The sequence below is a fragment of the Homo sapiens genome, chromosome 4 (assembly GCF_000001405.40).
Source record: "Homo sapiens chromosome 4, GRCh38.p14 Primary Assembly".
Taxonomy (NCBI): Eukaryota; Metazoa; Chordata; class Mammalia; order Primates; family Hominidae; genus Homo; species Homo sapiens.
Genome location: NC_000004.12, coordinates 1,630,811 through 1,658,201, shown reverse-complemented (window position 1 = coordinate 1,658,201; position 27,391 = coordinate 1,630,811). Strand labels below are relative to the sequence as shown.

The window sequence follows — 27,391 nt, the reverse complement described above, 5'->3', positions numbered from 1 at the left end:
AAAAATATATTTAAAAAAACAAAATTAGCTGGGCGTGGTGGCAGCTTTCTGTAGTCCCAGCTACTCGGGAGGCTGAGACAGGAGAATGGCGTGAACCCGGGAGGCAGAGCTTGTAGTAAGCAGAGATAGCACCACTGCACTCCAGTCTGAGCAACAGAGCGAGACTCTGTCTCAAAAACAGACAAAAAAAAAGTCTGCTTAGTGTTAACAGCTCTTTTAAAAACAGAAAAAATTTTTTAAAAAATTTAAAAATGTCCGTTTACAGCCGGGCGTGGTGGCTCATGCCTGTAATTCCAGCACTTTAGGAGGCTGAGGCGGGCGGATCACGAGGTCAGGAGATGGAGACCGTCCTGGCTAACACGGTGAAACCCTGTCTCTACTAAAAATACAAAAAAAATTAACCGGGCGTGGTGGTGGGCGCCTGTAGTCCCAGCTACTTGGGAGGCTGAGGCAGGAGAATGGCGTGAACCCGAGAGGCGGAGCTTGCAGTGAGCCGAGATCGCGCCACTGCACTCCAGCCTGGGTGACTGTGCGAGACTCCATCTAAAAAAATAAAAAATTGTCCATTTACTCAGTTGAATTTTGTTAGGTTTTAATAAAACTGTGCTTATTTTAATCACTAGAAAGAAAACACTGGGGAAAGGTAGAACGTGCTGCAGTGATGAAAATGGGGGATATTATTGCCGAATTCTCACGTGTCAGTCACAGTATTGAAACTTCTCTTTCCTGTCAGTTGCAGTATTCTGCGGAAACCCTGAACAAGAGCGGTCGTCTGTTCCCTTTGGAGCTCAACGGTGAGCACTTTAGGAGCTGTGGCCGGAGGCCTGAGCAGGGCTGGGACTGGGCTCCTGGGCTGGGAGGGTCCTGGACGCAGAACATGAGCCGGATCTGCAGAAGCCCAGGAAGGTGTTCGTGTGCCCTGCACTGGGGCGTGGGGTGGTCCCTGCTGCCGTCCTCCAACGGCTGGGCCCGTGGTCAAGAGTGGTCTGTGAGCAGGACGGCTCGTGTAGGGTGCGGGCCCAGCCAGGTCTCTCCCTCCTCAGCTGGTGGGGCCCAGGGGTCTGCTGCGCCCTTTCTGGAAGGTGCAAGGCCCACCCTGTGGCCACGAAAAGAAGAGGACGGCGTGGCTGGCAGGGCTTGTAGCGTCAGCTGGAGCGTGCCATGGCATACTGGGCGGCCCACCCACTGTCCGTGCAGTGGAGGGTGTGGCTGTGCCTGGTTCACCCGCAGGTGGGCCCTTCATTGATGGAGAGCAGGTGCCCCGAGTATGGAGGCTGGCTGGTGTTCACGGGCCAGGTAACCCTGGGGTCCCAGGTCCTCCCCCAGCGAAGGTCCCAGGGGCATCTCCCTCTGTTGGCCCTGCTTACCTGACTGTGACACGCCCAGCGCCCTGTGTCACGCAGAGTGGGCCCGTTAGGAGGCTCACCTTGCTGAGCGCCAGATGACCAAAGTGAAGGTGTTTTACCAGATTCTTTCATGAGTAGATGGAAGTAGCATGTGTGAGGCCCCAGCTGGCCAGAGCCCCACCCCCTGCCGGGCCTGTGGTGCGATGTCCTCACCTCAGCCTCCTGGGGTTCATCCTGCACACGGGGTCAGACCAGCCACCTCCATCCTGGCTCAGAGCCCCGCAGCGCTTCCTACACTCCTCACCCAGCCGGCCGCTCTCCCTGCCTACACCTCCACGTCTCCTCCCCACAGCCCCCATCTCTCTCCCAGTCACCCCAAGGTCATCCCAGGGCCTTTCCCCAGAGGCAGGTCTCACAGCCTCCACTCCAAGTTCCTCAGCTGGACAGTGACTGCACAAGCCACTGGGCAGACTCCATGCCAGGCCCATGCACCTGGCCTTGCTCTCCAGGCTTCTCCGAACCAGCAGGCAGTGGGCTGGGGAGCGCGTTAGACAGGCAACCCCAGGACAGTTGTGCAGGAAGTGAGACTTGGGAAGGGGCTCCAGGCCTGGACCTGGTGGCTCTGAGGTTTGTGAGGAGTTTCTGGGGCTCAGACTCTCCCTGAAGACCGTGGCAGCAGGTGTGACCCTGTGTTGCCCATGTTACTAAGGGACCTGAGCTGCTTTAAGAAGGGGCCCTGGAGAGTCCTGGCCGGGGTAGCCGCACATCCTTGAGATGCCTGGTCACAGAGGGAGAGGGGCATTTTGAGGATGCGGGAAGAATGTTTTAGCAAAGCTGTCGGGAGAGCAGAGCCGTGCGGTTGTTCTCAGGGAGGCACCGGTGGGGAGGCTGACACCTCCTTCAGACACGGTGTCCCCTTTAAGAAGTGAGCCGAGCCCCGCAGCTAACCCAGCAAGGGCAGGCGGGGCTGGTGTCCACTGTGCGCCACGGACATCTTGGAGAAGCACGCCCAGGGGTGGCGGCGATGGGGTTGTGCCCTTGACAGCTCTGCCAGGCTGTTTGCCGGGATGGATGTCGCCTGCCCTGTGGCTCACCTGTCTCTTCCCCTGCCTCTTTGTGTCTTTTTTTGTAGACCAGAGTCCCTGGAAGGTCTTCAGTGGAGGACCGCCCGTCAGAAGCCAGGCAGCCACGGGCCCTGATTTCTCCTTCCTGCCGGGCCTGTCTGCTGCCGCTCACACCATGGGTCTTCAGTGGCAGCCACAGTCCCCGCGCCCAGGCGCAGGCCTGGGTGCAGCCAGCACCGTGGACCCCAGTGAAAGCACAGGCTCGTCCACGGCCCCACCGACCAAGCGGCATTGCCGGTCCTTGTCAGAACCCGAGGAGCTTGTGCGCTGCCGGTCCCCCTGGCGCCCCGGCAGCTCCAAGGTCTGGACTCCAGTCTCCAAGAGGCGGTGCGACAGCGGCGGGAGTGCCACGCGGCAGGGAAGCCCCGGCGCCGTCCTGCCGAGGAGTGCTGTGTGGTCGACCGGTCCCACCTCGCCCGCCACGCCCCGGCCGTCCTCCGCCAGCGGCGGCTTCGTGGACAGCAGCGAGGGCAGTGCGGGCTCAGGCCCGCTCTGGTGTTCCGCGGAGTCCTGCTTGCCCTCCACGAGGCGCCGCCCGTCCCTCTCACAGGAGCGACTCGCGGGTGCGGGCACTCCCCTGCCCTGGGCCAGCAGCAGCCCCACGTCCACGCCTGCGCTGGGCGGGCGCCGTGGGCTGCTCCGGTGCCGCTCACAGCCTTGCGTGCTCAGTGGGAAGAGGAGCCGGCGCAAACGGAGGCGTGAGGAGGACGCCAGGTGGACACGCCCATCCTTGGACTTCCTGAAAATGACCCAGGTGAGGCTTTCTTATTTCCAGGGGCTCAGAGGGGCGTAGATCTGGACAGGGCGGTGCTGGGGTGAGGCTGGCTGATTCTCTGGATGTGGCTGTTAGCATCCGGCTGGTCTTCTCTGGGCTGGGAGGAAAGGAGTGAGGAGAGCCATCTGGAGTGCGTGGGAGCGATCGGGGGCCTGTCCTGGTGTCAGAGCACCCAGCTCACCCCGCCTGCTCCCGCAGAGGCAGAGCCCCACACACGGCCCAGGGTGGCCGGCCAGGCTTGCAGTGAGGCCTGGGGGAGGCAGCAGAACGGAGCTGTGGGTTTCTGGCCTGGCTGAGCCGCCCCCCGCCTCAGCTGCTGGGGAGTCCCCTGACTTTTTCTGGTGATGGCTCAGGAAGTAACAAGCTGTCCTGGGAGCCCCATTCGAGGCAGAGCCCGGGGTCCTCTCTTGTGGGAGCTGGTGGGTGTGCATGTTGCAGCTCAGAGCCCAGCAGCGCCTGTGCGCTTTGGGACTGTACAGGCACCTCCTGCAGAAACTGTCTGGATGTAGGAGAGAGCCTTCACCCACTTGAAGATTCTCAGTGCCACCCACCTCTCCACACCCCCGTCACAGGCCGTGGTTGGCACAGAGTTAAGGAAGGAAACAGGACTGAGGAGGCTTTCCCAGGTCTTGCTCTGTGTTACTAAGGGAGTGCATTCACCAGAGACCTCTGGGGGCCCGGCAGCGCTCGGGGAGGGAGATGGCAGAGCCGTGACAGAGTAGGGTGGGCTGTGTGCACACTCACTGGGTCATCTGTGTCGGGGAAGCTTTGGGCAGTGGCAGAAATTAACAGGACTTCCCGATGCCAACTGAGTACCAGCCAGGGCCGAGTGGGGCTGTGGCTAGGGTGGGGCGGGATCAGTGTCAGCCTGTCTCCTCAATGACCTGTGGCCTTGGCAGCCCCCTGAACTCTCATCCCCAGCCCCATCCTCCGGGCCACAGGCTTGCCCATGCCCTGCCTCTGGGGGCTGTAGATGTGGGTGGAGCTGTCCATAGTGTGGCTGCACTGTCTTGCTCGGGTGGGCTGGGCCTGGGCATCCTGTGGGGACAGTGACTGGAGAAGGGGCACAGATGGCCCAGGTCCTCCTCGACCTGGCCACAGCCCAGAGCTGGAGAGCAGTGTGGCCGGCGTGCCAGGTGGGATCCCCCAGGGTCCTCCAGGACGCTAGTCCTAGGCCACGCTGAGGGCACCGTGAGCTTTGCCTCTTCTGATCAGTGGGCTCTCCAGTTGATTCTTCCGGGGGGCTTGAGGTGAGTTGAAAACCCAGACTTCCCTGCTATGAAACTTTTCTGCAGAGAGCAGGGTTTAGAGAAGGCTCTGATCTTTTGCTATGAGATGGGCTGACCTGGGGAAGCCAGTAAATGCTGGAAAGCTGGTGGCAAGCTTTGGACATAGCACAAGCAGGCTGTCCCTGCTTGCCAGGGCTTGGGGTGTGCATGGCGTGGGTGTCAGGCCCCACGGGGACCAGGAGGGATGGGAGCAGAGGAGGGAGCTGCCGGCTCAGCACGTTGTGGGGCGGGGAATGATGGTGCCAGCGACGTATTGATGACCAGACAACAGTCCTAATGTAGAGCGGCCCTGGGTTTCTCAGATGCCTTGGGAGACAGACCAGGTGGTTGGGTGAGTTGGTGATCGAGGCTGCATGGGGCTCAGTGTGGACATGGGGTACCCCCGGTAGAGTGTGAGGTGTGGGTAGAGGCAAGGACTCGCCAGACCCAGGACCAGGGCTCATGGACACCCGGGTGTGTGGTGTGTTGGGGAGATGGGTGGGAGAAGGGCAGGGCTGCCGTCAAATGCTGTGTGGTGTGTGTGTGGCACACGTGCTATGTGCTGTGTGGTGTGTGTAGTGTGTGCTCTGTGTGGTGTATGTGGTGTGTGATGTGTATGTGACGTCTATGGGTGGTGTGTGGTCTATGTGTTGTGTGTGTGTAGTGTGTGTGGTGTGTGATGTGTGTGTGGGATGTGTGTTGTGTGTATGTGGTGTAGTGTATGCGTGGTCTGTGTGGTATGTGTGTGGTGGGGGTGTGTGTGGTGAGTGCTGTCTGGTGTGTAGTGTGTGGTGTCTGTGGTATGTGTGGTGTTTGGTGTGTGGTGTGTGTGCTGTGTGGTGTGTAGCGTGTGGTGTGTGGTGGGTAGTATGTGGTGTGTGTGTGACGTGTGTGGTGTGTTTGGTGTGTGCTGTGTGGTGTGTAGTCTGTGTGTGGTGTGTGTGTGCAGTGTGTGGTCTCTGGTAGTGTGTGTGGTGTGTGTTCTGTGTGTGGTGTGTGGTCTGTGGTATGTGTGGTGTGGTGTATATGTGGTGTATTGGATATGTCTGGTGGGTGTGTCTGGTGTGTGTGTGTGTGGTGAGTGATGTGTGGTGTGTGTGATGTGTGGCCTGTGTGTGGTGTGTGTGTGGTAATGTGTGGTGTGGCCTGTGTGTATGGTAGAGTATATGGTGTGTGGAATGTGTGGTGTGTTTGTGACGTGTGTGGTATGTGTGATGTGTGTCGTGTGTGTGGGGTGGGTGGTGTGTGTGTGATGTGTGGTGTGTATGTGGCGTGTGTGTGTCTGGTGTGTGTGGTGTGCATGTGATGTGTGTTGTGTGTGTTGTGCGTGTGACGTGTGGTGTGTGTATAGCGTGTGTGTATGGTGTGTGTGACGTGTGTGGTGTTTGTGTGTGTGTGGCATGTGTGTGTCTGGTGTATGCGGTGTCTGGCGTGTGGTGTGTGTGGTGTGTGTGCGACTAGTGTGTGTGGTGTGTGTGGCATGTGTGGTGTGTGTGGCGTGTATGGTGTGTGTGGCGTGTGGGGTGTGTGTGTGACGTGTGGTGTGTGTGGTGTATGAGGTGTGTGTGGCGTGTGTGTGTCTGGTGTGTATGGTATGTGTGATGTGTGTGTGACTGGTGTATGTGGTGTGTGTGTGGCGTGTGTGGTGTGTGTGTGGCGTGTGTGGTGTGTGTGTGACGTGTGTGGTGTGTGTGTGAGGTGTGCGTGTGGTGTGTGCGTGCATGGTGTGTGTGTGTGTCTGATGCATAGGTGGGTGCCTGGTTTCTCTCTGGGAGGAGAAACCCCCGCTGTGTGGGAACTGGAGCCGTGACCCCTAGGACTGGGGCTGCGCGGGGCATCCATCCCTCAGATCCATGCAGCCCCGGCTTTGGGTCCCTTGCTGAGCCTGCGTGTCCCTGTCCCCGGCTTTGGGTCCCTTGCTGAGCCTGTGTGTCCCTGTCCCCAGCTTTGGGTCCCTTGCTGAGCCTGCGTGTCCCTGTCCATGCAAGCGCTGGTCACCCAGGCTGGTGTCCCGTCCTCTGGATGTTTCTGTGATTCAGTCCTCCTTCCTCTTGACCCCGGTTATTCTGCCTCAGGCCTTGATACCCTCTTCGGCTACTGAGACATCATCCTAGTTGGCTTTGTTGCCTCTAATCTCCATCTTTTTTTTTTTTTTTAAGACAGAATTTCGCTCTTTTTGCCCAGGCTGGAATGCAGTGGCACGATCTCCGGTCACTGCAACCTCCACTTCCCGGACTCAAGCAATTCTCCTGCCTCAGCCTCCCGAGTAGCTGGGGTTGCAGGCATGCACCACCACGCTTGGCTAATATTTGTATTTTTAATAGAGATAGGATTTTACCATGTTGTCCAGGCTGGTCTTGAACTTCTGACCTCAGGTGATCCGCCTGCCTCGGCCTCCCAAATTGCTGGGATTACAGATGTGAGCCACCGTGCCCGGCCCTCTCTTAATTTTTTTTTTTTTTTTTCGAGATGGAGTCTCGCTCTGTCCCAGGCTGGTGAGCAATGGAACAATGGTGTGATCTTGGCTCACTGCAACCTCTGCCTCCTGGGTCCAAGGGATTCTCCTGCCTCAGCTTCCCGAGTAGCTGGGATTATAGGTGCCCACCATCACGCCCAGCTAATTTTTGTATTTTTAGTACAGACGGGGTTTCACCACGTTGGCCAGGCTGGTCTCGAACTCCTCACCTCGTGATCCACCCGCCTCGGCCTCCCAAAGTGCTGGGATTACAGGCGTGAGCCACTGCATCTAGCCAGCTCAATCTTGATATCAATGCCCGAGTGAATTCTCTGCAATGAAGATGCGTGAGCACTGTCCTAGTCCTCTTCTTGGGACAAGCAAGCCTGAATCCAGCAGCTTCAAACTTCACACCTGTGTTAAAAAAAAAACAAAACCCGCCGGGTGTACTGGCTCACGCCTGTAATCCCAGCACCTTGGGAGGCTGAGGCGGGTGGATCATTTGAGGTCAGGAGTTCGAGACCAGCCTGGCCAACATGGTGAAACCCCGCCTCTACTAAAAATACAAAAATTTGCTGGGCATGATGGTGGGCGCCTGTAGTCCTAGCTACTTGGGAGGCTGAGTCAGGAGAATCGCTTGAACCTGGAGGCGGAGGTTGCGGTGAACTGAGATCACGCCACTGCACTCCAGCCTGGGCGACAGAGTGAGACTCTGTCTCAAAACAAAAACAAAAACAACAGAAAAAACCAAAATCAAAACCAAAAACCACCACGCCTGTGCCACCTCACAGTCAAACACCACACCTGTGCCACCTCACAGTCAAACACCACGCCTATGCCACCTCACAAACACCACACCTGTGCCACCTCACAGTCAAACACCACGCCTGTGCCACCTCACAGTCAAACACTATGCCTGTGCCACCTCACAAACACCACGCCTGTGCCACCTCACAGTCAAACGCCACGCCTTTGCCACCTCACAGTCAAACGCCACGCCTGTGCCACCTCACAGTCAAATGTCACGCCTGTGCCACCTCACAGTCAAACGCCACGCCTGTGCCACCTCACAAACACCACGCCTGTGCCACCTCACAGTCAAACACCATGACTGTGCCACCTCACAGTCAAACGCCACGCCTGTGCCACCTCACAAACACCACGCCTGTGCCACCTCACAGTCAAACGCCACGCCTGTGCCACCTCACAGTCAAACGCCACGCCTGTGCCACCTCACAGTCAAACGCCACGCCTGTGCCACCTCACAGTCAAACGCCACGCCTGTGCCACCTCACAGTCAAACGCCACGCCTGTGCCACCTCACAGTCAAACGCCACGCCTGTGCCACCTCACAAACACCACGCCTGTGCCACCTCACTGTCAAACACCACACCTGAGCCACCTCACAAACACCATGCCTGAGCCACCTCAGGGGTCCCGGAGGCCGATGGGGAGGCTCTGCTCAGGCCTCCTTGGAGCTCAGTCAGCCAGGTTGTGGTTACCTGGAGGCTTGACTGGGGCTGCAGGACCTGCTTCTAAGTTCACCCATGTGGCTTTTGGCAGGAGGCCTCATTTCTTTGCCACATGGGCCTCCCTGAGGGGCAGCCTGAGTGTGTTCACGATGTGGCAGCTTGATTTCCCATAATGAGTGACCCCAGTGGGCATGAGCGGGCCCCACAGAGCCCTGTGTGACCTGGTCCTCACCAGCTGAGATTTCGTCTGCTCCTTAACTCTGTCTAGCCCTTACTCAGTGGGAGGAGGATCGGGCTCCACTTTTTGAAGGGAGTGATTTCAAAACCGCTCTTCTCCGTAAGGAGTGTCGGTCAGAAACGGTGCTTGTGGAATGGTGTTAGCATTGATGCTGGCTCTGGTGCCTCCCACCCCTTGTGCTGGACTTTGGTTGGCCACAGACAGGTAGGGGGCTTACAGAGAGGATAGGCAGGTGCAGAGCTTTCTTTGTTCCCTTGTTTCCTTCTTTCTTTCTCTTTCCTTTTCTTTCCTCCCCTCCTCTTCCCCTTCCCCTTCCCTTTCCCTTTCCCCTTCCCCTTCCCCTTCCCTTTCCCTTTCCCCTTCCCTTTCCCCTTCCCTTTCCCCTTCCCCTTCCCCTTCCTCTTCCCTTTCCCTTTCTGTTTTGCTCTTGTTGCCCACGCTGGACTGCAGTGGCATGATCTCAGCTCAGTGCAACCTCTGCCTCCCAGATTCCAGAGATTCTCCTGCGTCAGCTTCCCAAGTGTCTGGGATTGTAGGCGCCCACCACCACACCTGGCTAATTTTTGTATTTTTAGTAGAGATGGGGTTTCACCATATTGGCCAGGCTGGTCTTGAACTCTTGGCCTCAGGTAATCCGCCTGCCTTGGCCTCACAAAGTGCTGGGATTACAGGCGTGAGCCACCACTCCCGGCTTGCCCCGTTTTCTTCAGTGACTTTGTTAATGAGCCAGAACAGTGATGTGGGTGCTGCACACCCCATTCTGCTCCTGGGACTCAACCTCACCTGAAATAAAAGCTTTTCGTTTATTTGCTTCATGTGGGGGCCAGGTAATACCTGCCCGCCCTGAAGTGTGCATTGCCTTAAATTCAGCCGCTTTGGTCTGCTTGCTCACGAGTGTCTTCAGTGTGACCGTAGTCATCGCTTTCTGGTAAAAAGGTTTGTGGGGAGAGGGCCTCATCAAATGTCAGGAAAGCCCCTGAGGAGACAGGCAGTGTCTTCAGGGGCCACGTCTGCAAACCCAGAGCCCTCCTGACCGCGGCTGCAGAGGACAGTGCCAAGACTCCTGAGGGGCCAGGGCTGCCTGCTCTCCCTCTTTCCAGCTCTTTGCTCATCCCACCCAAAAACTGGCTCCCACCTTTCTCTGTGTCCCTCATCTGCCGTCTGTGTGCCCCTCTCCCTGTCAGCCAACCAGTCTTCACCCACACCCACCTACCCCTGCCTGCACCGCATCACCTGAATATGTGGCACCTTTGGTGAACACTTGGCCCCCAGCCTGGGTTACCTGTCAGTTCCTGGTTTTGTTTTGTTTTTTGGAGACAGGGTCTCTCTCTCTGTTGCCCTGGCTGGAGTGTAGTGGTATAATCACAGCTCACTGCAGTCTCCATCTCCTGGACCCAGGTGATCCTCCCACCTCAGCCTCCTAAGTAGCTGGGACCACAGGTGCACACTCCTGTGCCCAGCTAATATTCTCAATTTTTTAAGAGACAGAGCCTTACTATGTTGTCCAAGTTGGTCTCAAATTCCTGGGCTCAAGCCATCTTCCTGCCTCACCTCCCAAAGTGCTGGGATTGCAGGCGTGCGCCACCAGGCCCAGGCTTTGCCACTTCCTGTTTGTGTCAAGCTCCTCTCCACCTCAGGGCCAAAAAGAAATGCTCTGATTTTCCTCTACAACTTTTATAATTGTGTGTTACCGGACAATTAGTCCTGACTCTGGGTGGGCACACACACATACCCACCATGCACACTCACCCCCACGCTTATGTGCACACTCAGGTGCACACTCCCACTCATGTGCACACTCCCACTCATGTGCACCGCTGCATGCTCACGCTCGCTCACATCCGCACCCCGGCTGTGCTGTGCTTGCACCTGGCGGACTCGGTATGCGCAGCCCAGCTCTAGTCCGGCGTCCCTGGCGTGTGTTGTGCAGTCTGCGTGCGCAACTGTGTTCACCCTGCAGGGCTCCTATGTCGGGGCTTATCAGTGGGACCGTTCGGCGATCATCCTCAACCCCCCGCCACCCCCTGCTGTCTGCTCTGAGTCTAGGCTCACACCAGCTTCCCCAGGTGTCAGAGGGCTGCTCTCTGAGCAGGGTGCAGGGGCACTGCCTTCCCTGCCTTTCCCTTGGAAACAGTGCATGTTTTCCTAGGAAAACATTTAGGATTTTCTGCTTTTTTTTTTTTTTTCCCGAGATGGAGTCTCGCTCTGTCACCCGGGCTGGAGTGCAATGGTGCCATCTCGGCTAACTGCAACCTCTGCCTCCCAGGTTCAAGCGATTCTCTGCCTCAGTCTCCTGAGTAGCTGGGATTACAGGTGCCTGCCACCATGCCTGGCTAATTTTTTGTATTTTTAGTAGAGAGGGGGTTTCACTATGTTGGCCATGCTGGTCTCGAACTCTAGACCTCAGGAAATCCACCCACCTCAGCCTCCCAAAGTGCTGGGATTACAGGCATAAGCCACCATGCCCGGCTTTTACTGGCGAAGCTACTTTTTCTGTTTTTATTGGCAAAGCTATGTTTCAAAGTTGAAATTAAAATATGACCATTGAAAATATGCACATCAGTTATGGTTCCAGCAGAGTGTGGAAGCAGCTGCTGGTTTCTATAAAAGCGTGTGCTTTTAGGGCTTTGAAAAGCTTTTGCCACGTAGAGAAGGCGCTCAGCTGCCTCTGGAGAGACCGAGGCTGCTGCAGAGAAAGAAACAGCTTCCTATGTGGCCCTGCAGCTGGGTCACCCAGAGCCTGAGGAGTTCTTCAGACAGGCAGGCAGCTTTGGGGCCAGCAGTTACATCATGGGCTAGAACCTAAGGACAAGCTAGAGGTGCATGTGGCCGTGTTCACACCTTCAGGCCCGCTGCGTTTTTGGAGGTCTTGGGTTTAGTGAGCAGATGGTGCCTTCCGCGGCCTCAGTCACGAGAGCGCAAGGCTTGTCCTCCATGGGGGGGCCTCTGCTGCACCTGCTGAGCTGTTTTCTCTGTGCCTCCTGGGTGAAAATTGAAAAACCAAAAGCTTTGAGCAGCTCCTGGTACCAAGAAAAGGACTGACTTAGTTTGTTTTTGCTGCTGTAACAAAATACCCCCGACGACGTCACTTATAAATAAGAGAAATGTATTTCTCAAGAGTTCTGGGCTGGGCACAGTGGCTCACGCCTGTAATCCCAGCACTTTGGGAGGCCGAGGTGGGCAGATCATGAGGTCAGGAGATCGAGACCATCCTGGCTAACACAGTGAAACCCTGTCTCTACTAAAAATACAAAAAATTAGCCGGCATGGTGGCGGACGCCTGTATTCCCAGCTACTTGGGAGGCTGAGGCAGGAGAATGGCCTGAACCCGGGAGGCGGAGGTTGCAGTGAGCCGAGACCGCGCCACTGCACTCCAACCTGGGCGACAGAGCAAGACTCCGTCTCAAAAAAAAAAAAAGAGTTCTGGAGGCTGGGAGCCCAAGACCCAGGCCCCAGCAAGTCTGGTGTATGGTGAGAGCCTGCCCTCTGCTTCCAAGATGGCCTCTTGTGGCTGTGTCCTCACCTGGCGGAGGAGATAGAGGACGCGGAGGACTGAGGCTGGTTCCCTCCAGCCCTTTATGAGGCTCTCGTGTCTTGTGCAGGCCCGCAGGACCTGATCAACTCCCAACACCATGGTAGAGATTTGGAGGTATACGTTCAAACTGTAGCAGGGACCATCAAGAACATGGAATGTTTGAGACGGCGCAGACCGAAAATCTGGAATTTGTAGCTGCTGATTTTTCTTGCTTGTTTTCTCAGACCTTCTCTCCAGGAGCCATGCCCAGGGTGGTCAGAGGTGGTGAGTGAGGTGGCAGAAGCGAGTGCTGGGCAGGGGGCGCACTGCTGGGCACTCACTCCATACCTCCTGATGGGCACTGGCTGTCCCATCCCCCTTGGGATGAGGAGCCGGTGCCATCAGTGGCTGCACGGTCAGGGCGGAGAGTCCCCTCCTTCTGCCTCTGTGTGGAGGGCTGGGGAGACAGGGAGGATCTTTGTTCTCCAGCTTCCTGGCTTTGTAAGGCTGTGTGCCCCTCACAGCCCGAGCAGGTTGTCTGAGCAGGGCTCACTCAGCCAGTTTTTTCATGTGCCGTCGGCCAGCTCCCCTGTCTAGAATGCTCCAGTCCGTACTTTCCTAATAACCCTCTCTTCTGCAGGGTTGGGAGGGCGCTCACCAGAGGCAACAAGGGGTCTAGGGTCCCGGTGCTTCTCACACTGGCCTCCTCGCCTGACACACGCACGGAGCTTGCTCTGGCCATCTCTGTCCCTGCCTGTGCCATGGACATCCCTGCGCCCTGTGGGCCTCTGTGGCTTGGCCGGCCTGTGCCTCCCTGTGGCAGGAGGGAGGTGCTTGGCTCTGCTTGGCTGCCTGTTTCAACATGCACTGTGCTGCGCTCCAGGCACTGCCAGGCCCTTGGGGAGCACCCCCCACCCTTGACTGCTGCCTGGCCCTGCTGCAGAGCGGCCCACGGCCAGGGCCGCCTTGGCTGTGAGGGGACCCTGTGAGCCCCTCCCACATGGTGGATGGAGCTTGCGCTTTCTCAAGAGAGTAAACCCGTGTTTTAGTTTGACAAAAGCCAGAGGCTTTGGCAAGGGGCAGGTACAGATGTGGCTGAGACAGGGCCCTGGACGTTTGCTGAGTGACGTCAGGTCAGCTCGTAGGAGGCTTCCCTGACCTTCCAGGGTCTCACCGGCTTCCGGTAGCTGAGTTAACCCACCTCAGGTGCTGGAGGCCCTCCAGCTGTCAGCTGGGGTCCGTGCACCCCCCAGACTGCCTGGAGGGCTTCGCACACAGTTTGAAAGGCCTCTGCGCTTTGGAGCCCAATTTGGAACTTGAAGGCTTGACCTTTGTGTTTTGGACAACTGTTTTGTGTTTAACCTCAGATGGAAGTGACCATCCAACCAGAGTGATGGTAGCAGGAGCTGGGACGGAGCCCCGGGGCTGGCGCCCAGGGACAGGGGGCGCGAGGCGGATGGGTGGCGCAGTCCAGGCCAGCATCGGCCCCGTGGGCCTCGGTTTCCACCGTCTCTACAGCGTGGGTGGCCCCTTCAGTTCCGTGTGGCCTTCGCTAGCGCTGTTGGGCGCTGAGCTGTACAGCTGCCGTGTCTGTGGGCAGAAGTTTTTTCTCCTGCACCGACTGTGTCGTCCAGAGGCGTTCAGAGCCTGCTGTTTTCACGCTCTAGCCGCACAGCTGTGCCCGCGAGTGCGAGTCCCGCGTCCGAGGCCTCGGCGTGAGCTTACAGCATCTGTCGGGTCCGAGCAGTCAGTCCAGAGGGTCGACTCTGAATGAAAACAAAACGCCGTGGTTTGAAATGGAAGGAAACCTGGCCCCTGAAGGTGCGTAGCGTCCCCGCCACCCCGGTGCGTGTGTAGTGCAGCCTGGTGGTGCTGTGGATTGGAGGCCATCCTGTGTGGGCAGCACGGCAGCCAGAGTCTGCAAGGTCACGGGTGACACCAGACCGAGCTGGTGAGACCCGGACCTCCACGCCATCCAGCAGGGGCCCAGCAGACCAGCCACATCCTCATGCCGGGCCTGGGGCTTGTACGGACAAGTGATGTCCATGGGCAAATTCACTTTGATTTGAATGAAAAATAAGTTATGCATCCCTATTTTGTGACCAAAACATGTGGCCAGTTGTATCTTTAAAGATTTGAGTGGGGCTGGGCGTGGTGGCTCATGCTTGTAATCCCAGCACTTTGGGAGGCTGAGGCGGGAGGATTGTTTGAGCCCAGGAGTTTGAGACCAGCCTGGTCAACAAAGCGAGACCCCATCGCTACAGAAAATACAAAAATTAGACCGGCATGATGGTATGTACCTGTTGTCTCAGCCACTTGAGAGGCTGAGGTGGGAGAATTGCTTGAGCCCGGGAGGTCGAGGCTGCAGTGAGCTATGATTGCACCTCTGCACTCCAGCCTGGGAAACAGAGCAAGACCCTGTCTCAAAAAAAAAAAAAAAAATTATTCTTTAGAATTTTACTTCTCAGTGATTCACTTTTTATAGTAGAACCACAAAGACAGAAAATATGTCAATTCGTCTTTTGTCTATTTATTTATTTTTTTGAGACAGAGTCTCACTCTGTCTCCCAGGCTGGAGTGCAGTGGCCCAATCTCGGCTCACTGCAAGCTCCGCCTCCCGGGTTCACGCCATTCTCCTGCCTCAGCCTCCCGAGTAGCTGGGACTACAGGCGCCCGCCACCACGCCTGGTTAATTTTTTGTATTTTTAGTAGAGACGGGGCTTCACCGTGTTAGCCAGGATGGTCTTGATCTCCTGACCTCGTGATCCGCCCGCCCCGGCCTCCCAAAGTGCTGGGATTACAGGTGTGAGCCACCATGCCTGGCGTCAATTTGTCTTTTAGAGCCCAATAATATCCTTAGAAAAAAGGAGCTCTGTCCCCGAGGGCCATGTGCTTTTATAAAAATCAGTCGCTGGAAGTGTTTCCAGGAAGTGTTTGAGGTTCCCGTCTGTGGGGTGTTTCCTTGCTCTGGACGAAGGTGATTTGGGGAGTTTCTTGGGTCCTGTGGAATTGGTGAGCTTGTGCTCTAGGTCATAACTTTAGGTGGCCGAGGGTGCTGTGTCAGTGTGGCCTTGTCATCGGCATCATGGCGCCCCTGTGCCCTGCAGGCGTGGCCAGTGGCACCCACGTGCCCTCACAAGCCTGAGCCACGAGGTGAGGCGTCTGAAGCCAGCGTGGTGTGGTCGAGGAGGGGAGCCTTGACCCTGAGGAGGCCTGGAGGTGACCCGGCAGGTGGGGCTGGGTAGGAAGGCTGCTCCCAGTGGCAGTGGACGAGTGGCATGGACGGCGCTGGGCACCACAGACGGGGGACTTGAGGCAAGGACTGGGAGGTGGCGGGGGGTGGGGGCCCGGGAGTGCTGAGGGGCTGGTGCCCTGGTCGTGGCCATGGACTCGTGCCCCAGCTGGACACACCTGCTGGGTCTCAGGGCCCTGGAGACGCCCAAGAGAGCACGCCTGGGTGGATGGAGACTGTTTGCAGCTCAGAGTGCTCTGGTTGGGGGGTGCAGCCTGGGGGGACCCCCTATTCCTAACAGGCCTTGGGAAGGGAGGCTACTGAGTGAGATATAGCCGGGGGGCAGAGTGAGAAGGGGGTGGTGGCGGCACCTCCGGAGGGCAGAGGGAGGGCCGGAGCCTGGCACTCAGGGACCTGCTGTGGACAGGCCTGGGCGTGGCATGGGGGTACTGGAAGCTACTCGCCTGGGATGAGGGCGGGCCTTGCCCAGGGGAGACCCCTGTGTGTGCACCTGTTTGTCGCACGTATTTTGAGATGAGAAGGATTTGCATGTGTTTCTATTAGAGTAACTATTAGGGGAGGAGGTGCAAGGACAGAGAAGGTGGGAGCTGCGTCTGGTGGGCCCCTGAGGACACCGACGAGGTGGGGTTCCAGGGGCCTTATGGGGGCAGGTGGAGGAGAGACAGAGCCACCACAGGGCCTCAGAGGTGGCTGTGAGGTGCTTGCTGAGAGCGGCCCTGGGTGGGGCTGTTGTCAGAAGTGGAGGCACAAGGCACCCTCTCTGGACAGGCCACCTGCCAAGGACAAGACTGGGATAAGGCTGTCACCTGTGAGCCCTGGGCATCTTGGGGCTTGCTTAGGTGTCAGGTGCCCACCAACCTGGTCCGTTGGGTCTGGGCAGGGCCAGGCTGTGCGTCTCTGCCCACACCAGCTGGGCGGGGGCTGAGGAGAGCTGAGGGGCCAGCTGGTTGGGCTGGGGCGGGCATGGGCAGGGTCTGAGAAAGGGGCTCTGAGAGCTGTGGCTGGTGTACAGGGGACCAAGGCCCCTGCTTTGTGTGGTCTTGGGGATGGCCAGAGCCCCAGCACACCGAGCCCTCGATGGGTTGGTGGGATGCTGCCTCCTGTGTGATCTGCTAGAAATGCTTTAAGCCCGTATCTTTTCTATTGCAGACTTTAAAAAATTCAAAAAGCCTTTGCTCCCTCAATTACGAAGATGACGATGAGGATGACACCCCAGTGAAGACGGTTCTGTCCTCCCCATGTGACTCCCGGGGCCTCCCTGGCATCACCATGCCTGGCTGCAGCCAGAGGGGCCTCAGGACCAGCCCTGTCCACCCCAACCTGTGGGCCTCTAGGGAGTCGGTGACCAGTGATGGCTCCCGCAGGAGCAGCGGGGACCCCCGTGATGGGGACAGTGTCGGGGAGGAGGGCGTCTTCCCCCGGGCCCGCTGGGAGCTGGACCTGGAGCAGATCGAGAACAACTGAGGCTGGTGGGGGCTGGTCGGGGCCATGGCTGCCGCCTGCACCTGCCCTGGGGCACAGAGTAGGTTTCCTGTGAGCTGGTCGGGGCCACGGCCCGGCACCTGCCCTGGGGCACAGAGTAGGTTTCCTGTGAGCTGGTCGGGGCCACGGCTGCCGCCGGCACCTGCCCTGGGGCACAGAGTAGGTTTCCTGTGAGCTGGTCGGGGCCACGGCTGCCGCCGGCACCTGCCCTGGGGCACAGAGTAGGTTTCCTGTGAGCTGGTCGGGGCCACGGCTGCCACCGGCACCTGCCCTGGGGCACAGAGTAGGTTTCCTGTGAGCTGGTCGGGGCCACGGCTGCCGCCTGCACTGCCCTGGGGCACAGACTAGGTTTCCTGTGAGCTGGTCGGGGCCATGGCTGCTGCCTGCACCTGCCCCAGGGCACAGAGTAGGTTTCCTGTGAGCTGGTCGGGGCCATGGCTGCCGCCTGCACCTGCCCCGGGGCACAGAGTAGGTTTCCTGTGAGCTGGTCGGGGCCATGGCTGCCACCGGCACCTGCCCTGGGGCACAGAGTAGGTTTCCTGTGAGTTGGTCGGGGCCACGGCTGCCGCCTGCACTGCCCTGGGGCACAGACTAGGTTTCATGTGAGCTGGTCGGGGCCATGGCTGCTGCCGGCACCTGCCCTGGGGCACAGAGTAGGTTTCGTGTTGCTTGGAACATTAAGGCGTAATTTTGATTCAGTTTTTCCTAAAGAAGCATTTTGCATTTTTATGGCTTTTGCAGTTCGGGAGAAAGCTTCTCTATTTTGGATGCATTTCAGAAGGGCGTTCTATTAAACATGAATCTGCAAACAGATTAACATGCGTCTGTGTTCCCCACGAAAGGCCTGCTGTGCAGGGCGCCTTGTGTGCTTTAGTTGCTAGGAAACCCCGGGCGTTGGTGGTCAGAGTCCCACTGGCCCCGTGTGTCCCCCCCTCCCGACGGGTCACGGTGCTTGGGGCTTGCGCATGGGCATCTGTGCCCATGAACCTTGTCACCCACGTGCCAGTGAACCGCCAGCTTGTGGCCGCCTGGTTTTCCACCGGTGGCAGTGATGGCCTTTGGGGCAGACCAAGGTGCCATGAGTCCCTGCTTCCCGTGGCCTGGGAGGGCCCTTGCACCTTCAGGTGGGGTGTAGTGCCAGACCTCTGGGAAGGCTGTCCTGCCGGCAGCACCCGTCAGCACCCACTCTGTGAATTTAATACAAGGCCTTTGCTTTGTGCATACGACTTCTGATTAATTTTCGTTTCCACCATCTGAAGTGGGCCTGGCTGCGCCTCAGGCCTCTGGTCTCTGGCTCAGAACCAGACAAGGCAAGGGATTTCCTGTTTTTCATTCTTGCACTTTTAATAAAATCGTAGGGGTTTCGAGTTTGCGATAGCAAAAGAAAACATTAATACTTTTTTGAAATTTTCTTGTTTTTTTCTCAATACAATTCATGAAAGGTCATTGAAGTTAATCAATGCCACTTTCTTAACTGACATGGGCCACAGATCAAAGGTGGGCAAAGGTGGCGAGTGGTGTGGTTTTGTTGGATCAGCTTTCCTGAGGCCGAGCTGCTTGGGTGAAAGTGGGGTTCTGGCTCTCGGGTGACCCTCCTGCCTCTGCCCTGCAAGACGGGGGATGGCGCTGGGGAGTTTGGGGCCTTAGCAAGTGGGATCCCCCTTCCTGGCCAGGCTCTGCCCTCCTCCGTTGGGGCAGTGCCTACTCTCCTGCTGTGCTGGCCCGGGGTCAGGAGCCCTCCTGTCGTTGGCAGGCCCTGGGTGGCTCCTGTGCTGGGACTGACAGAACAGGGGCTCAAGAGAGTGTCACCTGCTCCCCAGAGCCACCCCTGGCCTCGTGTGAAGGGAAGGGAGGGCCCTGGCATTGGACTTTGACACAGTTGCCAGACTGCACAGGAAGGTTGTGTTTTGGATTAAATTTGTGGAGATCAGCTCCGGGTGGTTTAGCAAAAGCCACAGTCACCTGCGTAGTCATCCAGGGTGCTGGGATTTGGGGTGGGGCGGGCGGTGCTCTGAGATGACTTAGTACAGGGCAGGGTCCCTCAGGTCAGAGGCTGGCTGTGGGGCTGGAGTGGCCTCCAGGGCACCGGCCACTGGTCTGCAGGACATGGCAATCTGGACAGCAATGGGAGACAGGGCTGTGGGGCTGGCATGGTGGTGGTGTCAGGCCTGCCAGGGTCCCACAGGGCCCTCTGCTGCAGGTCGGGGAGGGCGTCAGAGATGAGGCAGGGTGTGTCGCTGTGGCTGCAGAGGGGCCCGAGGTCCCCACCAAGGCCTGGATGCCCCAGGGGCAGGTGGGGCCTCGCCCCCTCCCTGCAGTCACTCTCTACGCTGAGTCCACCCGGCGTCCCCTCCCGCTGGATGGTGACCCAGGTTTGGGAGATCTGTCCACTGTGTTACCTGGAGTCTAGAACAGTTCCCAGCTGACTCTCGCTACCTGAGTCCCCTTCAAGGACAGGCAGGAGGAGGGGGGCCACTGACTGCTCACACCCCAGCCCAGGGGCCCCTCACCAGCTCTGAGCCTGGCCTGGGTGTGTGGGAGCGAGGGGATGTGGGGTGAGCTGGGGTTTACGTGTGCAGTCACCAGCCGCCCCCCACCCCTCCGACACTCCCCTTCCCTTGACGGAGCGTCTGGTCCTGCCTGCAACCCTTGGACTTGCCACCTTCCCCCAGGGCTTCCCCACCTCTCTCACCTCCTACCCTACCTCATCTCCTCCTTCCCCAAACCTCTGGCTCTCCTGGGCAGAACCTTTCCGGCTGGCTGGTGAGTGGGGCTGGAGGCTCCTCCTGAGGCCCGAGCCCAGGGCCATTCCCCTCGGTGCCCTTGATGTAGGGTGTCTGGTTGGTGGGGCCCTCGGTGGGGCAGTGCAGCCGGTTCTTCTGCAGTGCCGACCTGCTGTGTCCTCTGCGGGTGGGGAGACTGAGACGGAAGGTTCAGGGCACCCTTGGGTCCCCTGTCTGCCTAGCACAGGGTGGCGTGTGTGTGCGAGTGAGCTCACAGCCCGGCCCCTGGGGCTTGTCCCCAGGGCTGTATTTTCCCTTGGGCGTGTCTGCGTGTTTCCTGGAATGGGGGGCCAGGACCCTCACCAGGGGCATTTGAGTCCCTTGGTTGGCCCTGCAGGGTCACCTGCCTGAGGCCGGGGGCAGCCTTGGGGGTTGGCCTGCTGCCTCGTGTGGATGCTTGGCCCCTTGGGGATGGAGAGAGGCTGCTGCTGAAGCTGCAGGAAGTTCTGGTGGGGTGGGGGCTGCTCAGCTGTGTCACCCACGGTGGGCCTGGACTTGGTCTTTCCTCGACTAGCCACAGGCAGGGGGTCCCAGGGCCCTCTGGGGTGACCCCAGAGCCGTGGACAGGTGGATGGGAGGAATGGGGGGCCTGAGGCACAGTGCAGCCCCTGGGTCCCTGGGACCTGCTTTGGGCACCCACCTCAGCGGTCAGCCCGTGTGGGATCCACTGGGCTGGGCAGACATGGTGGGAGGGCCGGGGTTGTGCCTGGTACCCTGGGACAGCTCCCTTCCTGCGCTGGGGGCCTGTGAGGCCACTCCTCAGTCCCAAGGCTGGGATCCTTCAGACAGGCCCCTCCCTGCCCCTAGCCCCCAGCACTGCTGCAGTGGCCCACCCCTGCCCACCCCTGCCCACCCCTGCCGGGCTGCCCCCAGCCCTCCCCCTCTCCTGGGGCCTTCCCCACTGCAGGGCTCCTGTCCCTGTGGAGGGCTCCTGAGGGGAAGAGGCTGAGGCGAGGTGGGGCAGGGATATGGGGATGAGAGAGGGATGGCTTCCCCACCCTTCCCAGAGCATCCACACCTATGTCTTCTCCTGAATACGTCTCCATCCTCCCCCAGGCTCCCTCTGTCCCTCGAGGGCTGGCCTCACCCCCAACCGTTCCCTCCAGCCCTGCCCAGAGCCTCTGAAGACCCGGGGAGGTGGGGACGGCCTGGCTGGGAGCCTCCCTGGCAGCGTGGGGTGGCAGCCTCTGTGCCAGGGCCTCAGAGCCAGCCAGTCCCCTGCAGTCACAGGCCCCGTGCTTGTCTAACTTTTTGTTCCTTATCCTGGGCCTATTCTCTGGCCATCCCCGCCCCCACCCCCCACCCGAGCATGGGTGCCGGAGGCATGGCAGCCCAGCCCAGCTGAGAGCCCCGGACCTCCCTGTGCCGAGAGCTTGTCTGCCCAGGCACTCCCCAGCCCCAGACGGTTGTGGCCCTCACCAGGCAGCCCTCACCAGGAGAGGAGCCTGCCCGTGCTCTGGTGCAGCGGGAGCTCCTTGTTCTCGTGCTCGCCGCCGCATGTGCAGCTCAGCCAGTGCCCTGGGGGGAGGAGGGGCAGATGCTGGGGCCATGGGTAACACTGGAGGGGCACCTTCGCTGTTCCAGCCCTGCAGATGGGACCCCCCCCCAGCAAGAGCAGGAATTTCAGCTCTCCTCCTGGCTGGCCTTTGGGTGGAGGGAGGGAGGTCTCCCTTGAGGACCCTGGGCCCCATGCTAGCCCCGTGGCCTCCCGATGCCTGGTCTGGCAGACGCAGACGCGGACCCCTCTGTACCCGAAAAACCCAGGTCTTGGGCAGGCACGCACTTTCTCCTCTGACAGAGGTGGATTGGCCAATTCTTGGCTGCTGCTCTAGACTCAGGAGGTGAGGGCATGGGATCTGGGGAAGTGAGTTCCACCCAGGACAGCCAGTGTGAAGGCCCTGAGGGACGAGTGAGCCAGGTGCCCGAGGCCGTGGGCTCAGGTGGAGAGCGCAGGAGTGAGTCCACGTACAGCGGGAAGCTTGAAGCGCGAGGACGGACGGGATCTCCCGTGAACGGGGCAACACCACAAAGTTAGCTGTTTCCCAAAGCAATGCACTGCCGCAAAACCCAGCCAACTGCGAGGAGAAATTCACAACCCCCGTCCTAGGCAGAGGTCTCGTAATCCTCTTGGTGGTTAATCGGTCAAGTAGACTCAAAAGGAAACAATAAGGATACATGAGGTTTGATGGTGCTGGCTCCTGGGCTTGAGCGGAGGGGTGTCTATGGAATGGGGCTCACCCAGCTGGGAAATCACATTAGTTTCAGGCACACATGGAGCCTATCAGAAATGGACTATTTATAGGCCAGAAAGCAAATGCCAGTACATTTCAAAGAATTAGTATCATGGCCGGGCGTGGCGGCTCACGCCTGTAATCCCAGCACTTTGGGAGGCTGAGGTGGGCAGATCATGAGGTCAGGAGATCGAGACCATCCTGGCTACCAAGGTGAAACCCCATCTCTACTAAAAATACAAAAAGAAAATTAGCCGGGCGTGGTGGCGGGTGCCTGTAGTCCCAGCTAGTCGGGAGGCTGAGGCAGGAGAATGGTGTGAACCCAGAAGGCAGAGCTTGCAGTGAGCCGAGATCGCGCCACTGCACTCCAGCCTGGGCGACAGAGCAAGACTCCATCTCAAAAAAAAAAAAAAAAAAAAAAAAAGAATTAGTATTATACAGGTCCTATCTTCTGACCACAACTCAATACCAAAAAGCAAACAAAACCTCATGTGTTTCAGAAATTCCAAAAATGCACTTGATGTAACTCATGGGTTATAGAAGAAATCAACGGAAGTGAGAAAAGACTTAGAACCGTTGGCAGTGGGCGCGGCAGATCCGTGCTTGTGGAGTAGATCCCAAGTGGTGTGTAGAAGGGAATTTACAGTCCTCAGTGACTGTATTAGAAGAAATAGGAGTGAAAAATAGCTGGGCACAGTGGCTGGCGCCTGCAGTCCTAGCACTTTGGAAGGCCAACAGCGGGGAGGATTGCTTGAGTTCAGGAGTTTGGGACCAGCCTGGGCAACATAGCAAGACCTCGTCTCTACTAAAAATAAAAAAATTAGTTGGGTGTGGTGGCTCATGCTTGTAGTACCAGCTTCTTAGGAGGCTGAGGTGGGAAGATTGTTTGAGTCCCGGAGGTTGAGGCTGCAGTGAGCCAAGATCACACTACTCCACTCCAGCCTGGATGACAGTGCGAGACCCTGTCTCAAAAAAACAAAACAAAACCCAGAAATGAATGAAACTGACAACAAAGCCACAGCGGAGAAGACCCACAAGGTTTTCTTTGTGAGACCAAATAACTGGCAAAAGTCTTTTAGCTTAATTGAGAAAAGGGGAGAATGAGCAAATAAATACTACTGGGAATGAAAAGAGAGGCAGAACTAGAGATGCAGTCTGGATTATAAAGATAGAGGATATTATGAATGACTTAGAGGAAACAGACAAATTCCTGGAAAAAATTGCTAAAAACTGACTCAAGGAGAAAGAGAACCTGTAAATAGTCCTGCAGCCACTTACCAGAATGAAACAGTAGTTTAAAATCTTCCTGCAAAGAAAGCCTCAGCCCCAGATGATTTTATTTTTTTATTTTTTTTTTTTTGAGACAGAGTTTCTCTCTTGTTGCCCAGGCTGGAGTGCAGTGGTGTGATCTTGACTCACTGCAATCTCTGTCTCCTGGGTTCAAGCAGTTCCCCTGCCTCAGCCTCCCGAGTAACTGGGATTACAGGCGCGCACCACCATGCCTGGCTAATTTTTTTGTGTTTTTAGTAGAGACGGGGTTTCACCATGTTGGCCAGGCTGGTCTTGAACTCCTGACCTCAGGTGATCCACCCACCTTGGCCTCCCAAAGTTCTGGTATTACAGGCGTGAGCCACCATGCCTGGCCCCCAGATGATTTTATAGACAACCTCCACAAAATGCATAAGGGAGGAAATTCCAGCCTTTCATAATTCCGTTCAGAGAATGGAAAAAAAAGACCGTGCCCAAATTATGTCCCAGGCACGTATGATCTTGATGTGAAACCAGATGGGAACAGGGGAGGGAGCTGCTGGTTGATGGCTGAACATGGTGGCCGAGGTGGTGGCCCTGAGAGCTGTATTAGACCTCAGGGCTGACTCTGCCCCTTCCCTGCTTTCCTCTGTGTGTGTGGACGGGTGTGGAGGGGTTGTGGGGGCAGGGATGGAGCTCAGAGGGTAACAGGAGCCCTCAGCAGAGACCTCTTCCCTCCTGCCCACCCTGCCCTGTCTCCACTGGACCCCATACAGGGGAGTCCTGTTTGCACGAAGCAGCTTAGACACCTCCTGCCACACCCCGAGGTCAGGGTCACAGGCAGGCAGAGTCCACTGTGGGCTCCAATCCAGTTTCCCGGACAGCCAGTGAAGAGGCCCCGGTTCCCTCACAGGCTGCAAACCCCGCACTCCCTCTGCCACCTGCTACTCACTGCCAGAGAGCCCCTCCCTGGGCCCCTCCTGGTGTTCTGCTGGTCCTCCCGGGTGTCCCTGAAACCCCGGGCGCTCCCCCAGCCACAGCCTCATTGCCCTGAATGGTGGGTTCTGCGTTGGTGCTGAACAGGAAGTGAGGTCCTGTAGCCAGACCCCCCAGTCATGCCCCCTTTTCTCTTTTCCTGCAGTTATGGATATAGATTTTTTTTTTAAAACCTCTTTAAGTTAATTCTGGTAATGTATATGTTCTTGGAGAATGGTCAGTTTTGTGAGGAATATCGAATGCATTAGCTGTCACTTTCAATCTCCTGGGCTGCTCTGATCCCCTCTCGGTCCCGGGCTCCCTTGCTTCCCCGCTCTGTTGATGAGATGCTTGGAGCCTTGCTTATTTTATTTATTTATTTATTGGGAAGAACCGGCTCTTGGATTTACTGATGGGCTCACCCATTCTTCTTGTTTCCAATTCATTAATTCTGCCTTTATCTTCATTCCCGCCTCTCCTGCCTCCCGTGAATCTGCTTTATGGTTGTTTTTCCCTCCTGTGTCGAGTATTTTGTTCATTTATTTCCAGTCTCTCTTGCTCAGTAATAAAAGCATTTAAAGTTGTGAATTCTCCACCAACTCCTCCTCCATCTGGCTTCGTGGACCTGCAATTTCTCTTTCCATATAATTATAAAATCGTCTCTTGAGGCGAATTTTATTTACCCTCTGACCCAGGAGTTGTTTAGAGCATTTCTAAACTTTCAAATCATCTGGCTGCTTCTTTAGACCTTTGCATTCATTTCTAGGTTTATTGCATTGGTGTAAATTATGGTTTAAATAATGAAGCCTGTGAGTGTTTCACCGTTTGGAATGCAGGGAGATATGCGCTCGTGTGTGTGAGCATGAGTGTACCTATGCATGTGAGCACGTGTACCTATGTGTGTGAGCATGAGTACCTATGTTTGTGAGCATGAGTGTAAAGCTATGTGTGTGCACATGAGCGTGTACCTATGTGTGTGCGCATGAGCATGTACCTATGCGTGTGAGCATGAGCGTGTACCTATGCGTGTGAGCACGAGTGTGTACCTATGCCTGCGTGCGCCCTGTGCACATGCATGTATGTCTGTGCACGTGTGTGCATATGTGCCTACAGGCATAACTACATGTGTGCCTACATTTTCTGCATGGGAGTCTGTGTGTAAGTGTACCTGTGTGTGTGCACGTGTAACTGTGTGTCCACAGGTATTTGCAGGTGGGTCTGTGTGCACATGGGCATGTGTGTCCATGTACAACTGTATAATATGCACACGTGTGAGCACTGTGTAGTGTGTGCCTGCGTGGTGTGTATACACAGGCGTGCAAACTGCCCACGTGCATGCACGCCTGTGGAGCGTTCTGTGGCTTCAGACGGCTGCTGAGTCAAGGATGGTGATGAGAGGACTCAGGCTTCGTTCCAGCTTTGTCCCCGTGGCTCTACTCTAAGGGCGCAGATGATAAAACGTCACGAATGGGTGTTGCTTTTATTATTTGTTAGTTGTCTGTTGAGACGGTCATGTGACAGTTCTCTTGTCATCTGTGGGTCGGTCTTCTTGGGGGTCCATGTCAGAATACTGCACAGTGGGCTTAAACAGCAGAGCTGTCTCTCCTCCCAGTTCTGGAGGCTGGAAGTCCGAGATGGAAGCATCAGGAGGGCCACTTTCTCCCAGGGCCTCGCTCTGTGGTTCAAAGGCGGCCACTATCTCCCTGTCTGCACGTGGTCGTTTCTCTGTGTGTGTCTGTGTCCTCATCTTCTTCCTCTTCCTATGAGGACACAGGTCAGATTAGATTAGGACCGACTCGTGTGACCTTATTTAACCCTAACTACCTCTTTAGAGACCGTATCTCCAAATACTAAACTTTTTTTTTTTTTTTTTTGAGATGGAATCTTACTGTGTCACCCAGGCTGGAGTGCAGTGGAGTAATCTCAGCTCACTGCGACCTCCACCTACCGGGTTCAAGCGATTCTCCTACCTCACCCTCCTGAGTAGCTGGGATTACAGGCACGTGCCACCACACCCCTATAATTTTTTGTATTTGTACTAGAGACGGGGTTTCATCATGTTGGCCAGGCTGGTCTCAGACTCCTGACCTCAAGTGATCCACCCATCTTGGCCTCCCAAAGTGTTGGGATTACAGGCGTGAGCCACCATGCCTGGCCGTGGCTTGGATAATTTTTAAAAGTGAGGAGCAATTTTTTTGTTGCTGTTTCCTTGTATATCATGTGTCCCCCGTCCTCAGGAAGCTTTTAAGATCTCTGTATTTTTGGTTTTCAGTGGGTTGCCTGTGGGAGCGGCTTTTCTGTGTGTTTATTCCACGTGTTTGCTGGTTGATTTGGCTGTTTTTTTTAGCTTCTTGAATCAGTGTTTCTATAGCTTTTTCCTTCTGTAGGGTGCCTCAGTCTCCCCACTCTCTTTCTCTGGGGCGTCTCAGAGGCTGCCCAGTGCACCGTGGATATGGCACCTTCCCTCTGTGGTTGGGCGCCTTCAGCTCAGAGGCTGTTTCCCTGGGACTGCTGTGTGCCCTTCCCTGAGGAGTTCCCAGGCAGCGGGGGACACACTCCAGGGACAGGAAGCCGTAATGCCCGGCACAGGAGCCCCACAGTGCTGTCCCTGGACTCTCAGAGGTTAGCATGTGTGGGAACGGCCTGGGCTGCAAGCTGGCCTCACTGCCCCACACTGAGGCCCAGAGACCTGGCCTTGCCTGGGACATGGGGTTGATGGAGACCTTTGCTGCCCACAGCAGGCCTGGGGCTGCCTCTGGCTTGTCCACCGCTGCTATTGCAGCTCCCGGGGCAAAAGGCTGCTGGGAAGCCCCAAGCAGGGTCTCCGCCTGCCTCAGCCCCGCTCCAAGTCGTATGCCTCTCAAGTGACAGGTGGCAGAGTCAGAGCCATCCTGACTCCAGTCTTTCTCCTCTAAAGTGTTATAATAATTTATTGGAAACATTGTTTTTATTGTTAGTATTAATACATTTATTAATTTATTATTATATTATTTTTGAGACAGGGTCTCCCCCAGTCACCAAGATTGGAGTGCAGTGGTGTGATCATGGCTCACTGCAGTCTTGACCTCTGGGGCTCAAACAGTCCTCCTGCCTCACCCTCCCAAAGTGCTGGGACTGCAGGCGCGTGCCATGGTGCCCAGCCTCAACATAAAATTTAGTGTTCAGTTAACTGGCATTTAGTACATTCGTGAGATGGTGCAGACACCGCCTCTCTCTGGTTCCAAACC

General features: G+C 57.0%; 1 protein-coding gene across 26 annotated transcripts in view, besides 1 other annotated feature; it reads left to right on the top strand.

The window, feature by feature from the left end:
• Window positions 1-27,391, top strand: part of FAM53A (family with sequence similarity 53 member A) — a 111,956-nt gene that overhangs the window by 27,816 nt on the left and 56,749 nt on the right. For 11 of the 26 annotated variants that reach the window (XM_047449660.1, XM_047449662.1, XM_047449654.1 and 8 more), the window contains exons 3-5: window positions 734-794; window positions 2,479-3,224; window positions 16,595-18,321. In XM_047449660.1, coding sequence (XP_047305616.1) covers window positions 734-794; window positions 2,479-3,224; window positions 16,595-16,909 — 1,122 coding nt within the window. In that variant the 3' untranslated portion in view covers window positions 16,910-18,321. Of the gene's footprint in view, window positions 1-733; window positions 795-2,478; window positions 3,225-13,859; window positions 14,014-16,594; window positions 18,322-27,391 lie in introns of those variants that run through there. The other 15 variants (XM_047449667.1, XM_047449670.1, XM_047449669.1 and 12 more) reach the window with 6 other exon arrangements.
• Window positions 10,483-10,984: an enhancer, noted in NCBI's record as "H3K4me1 hESC enhancer chr4:1648945-1649446 (GRCh37/hg19 assembly coordinates)". NCBI's record gives its function as "activates a minimal SCP1, AML or CMV promoter by ChIP-STARR-seq in primed H9 embryonic stem cells {active_cell/tissue: H9 hESC(primed)}" and the evidence as "EXISTENCE:reporter gene assay evidence [ECO:0000049][PMID:30033119]".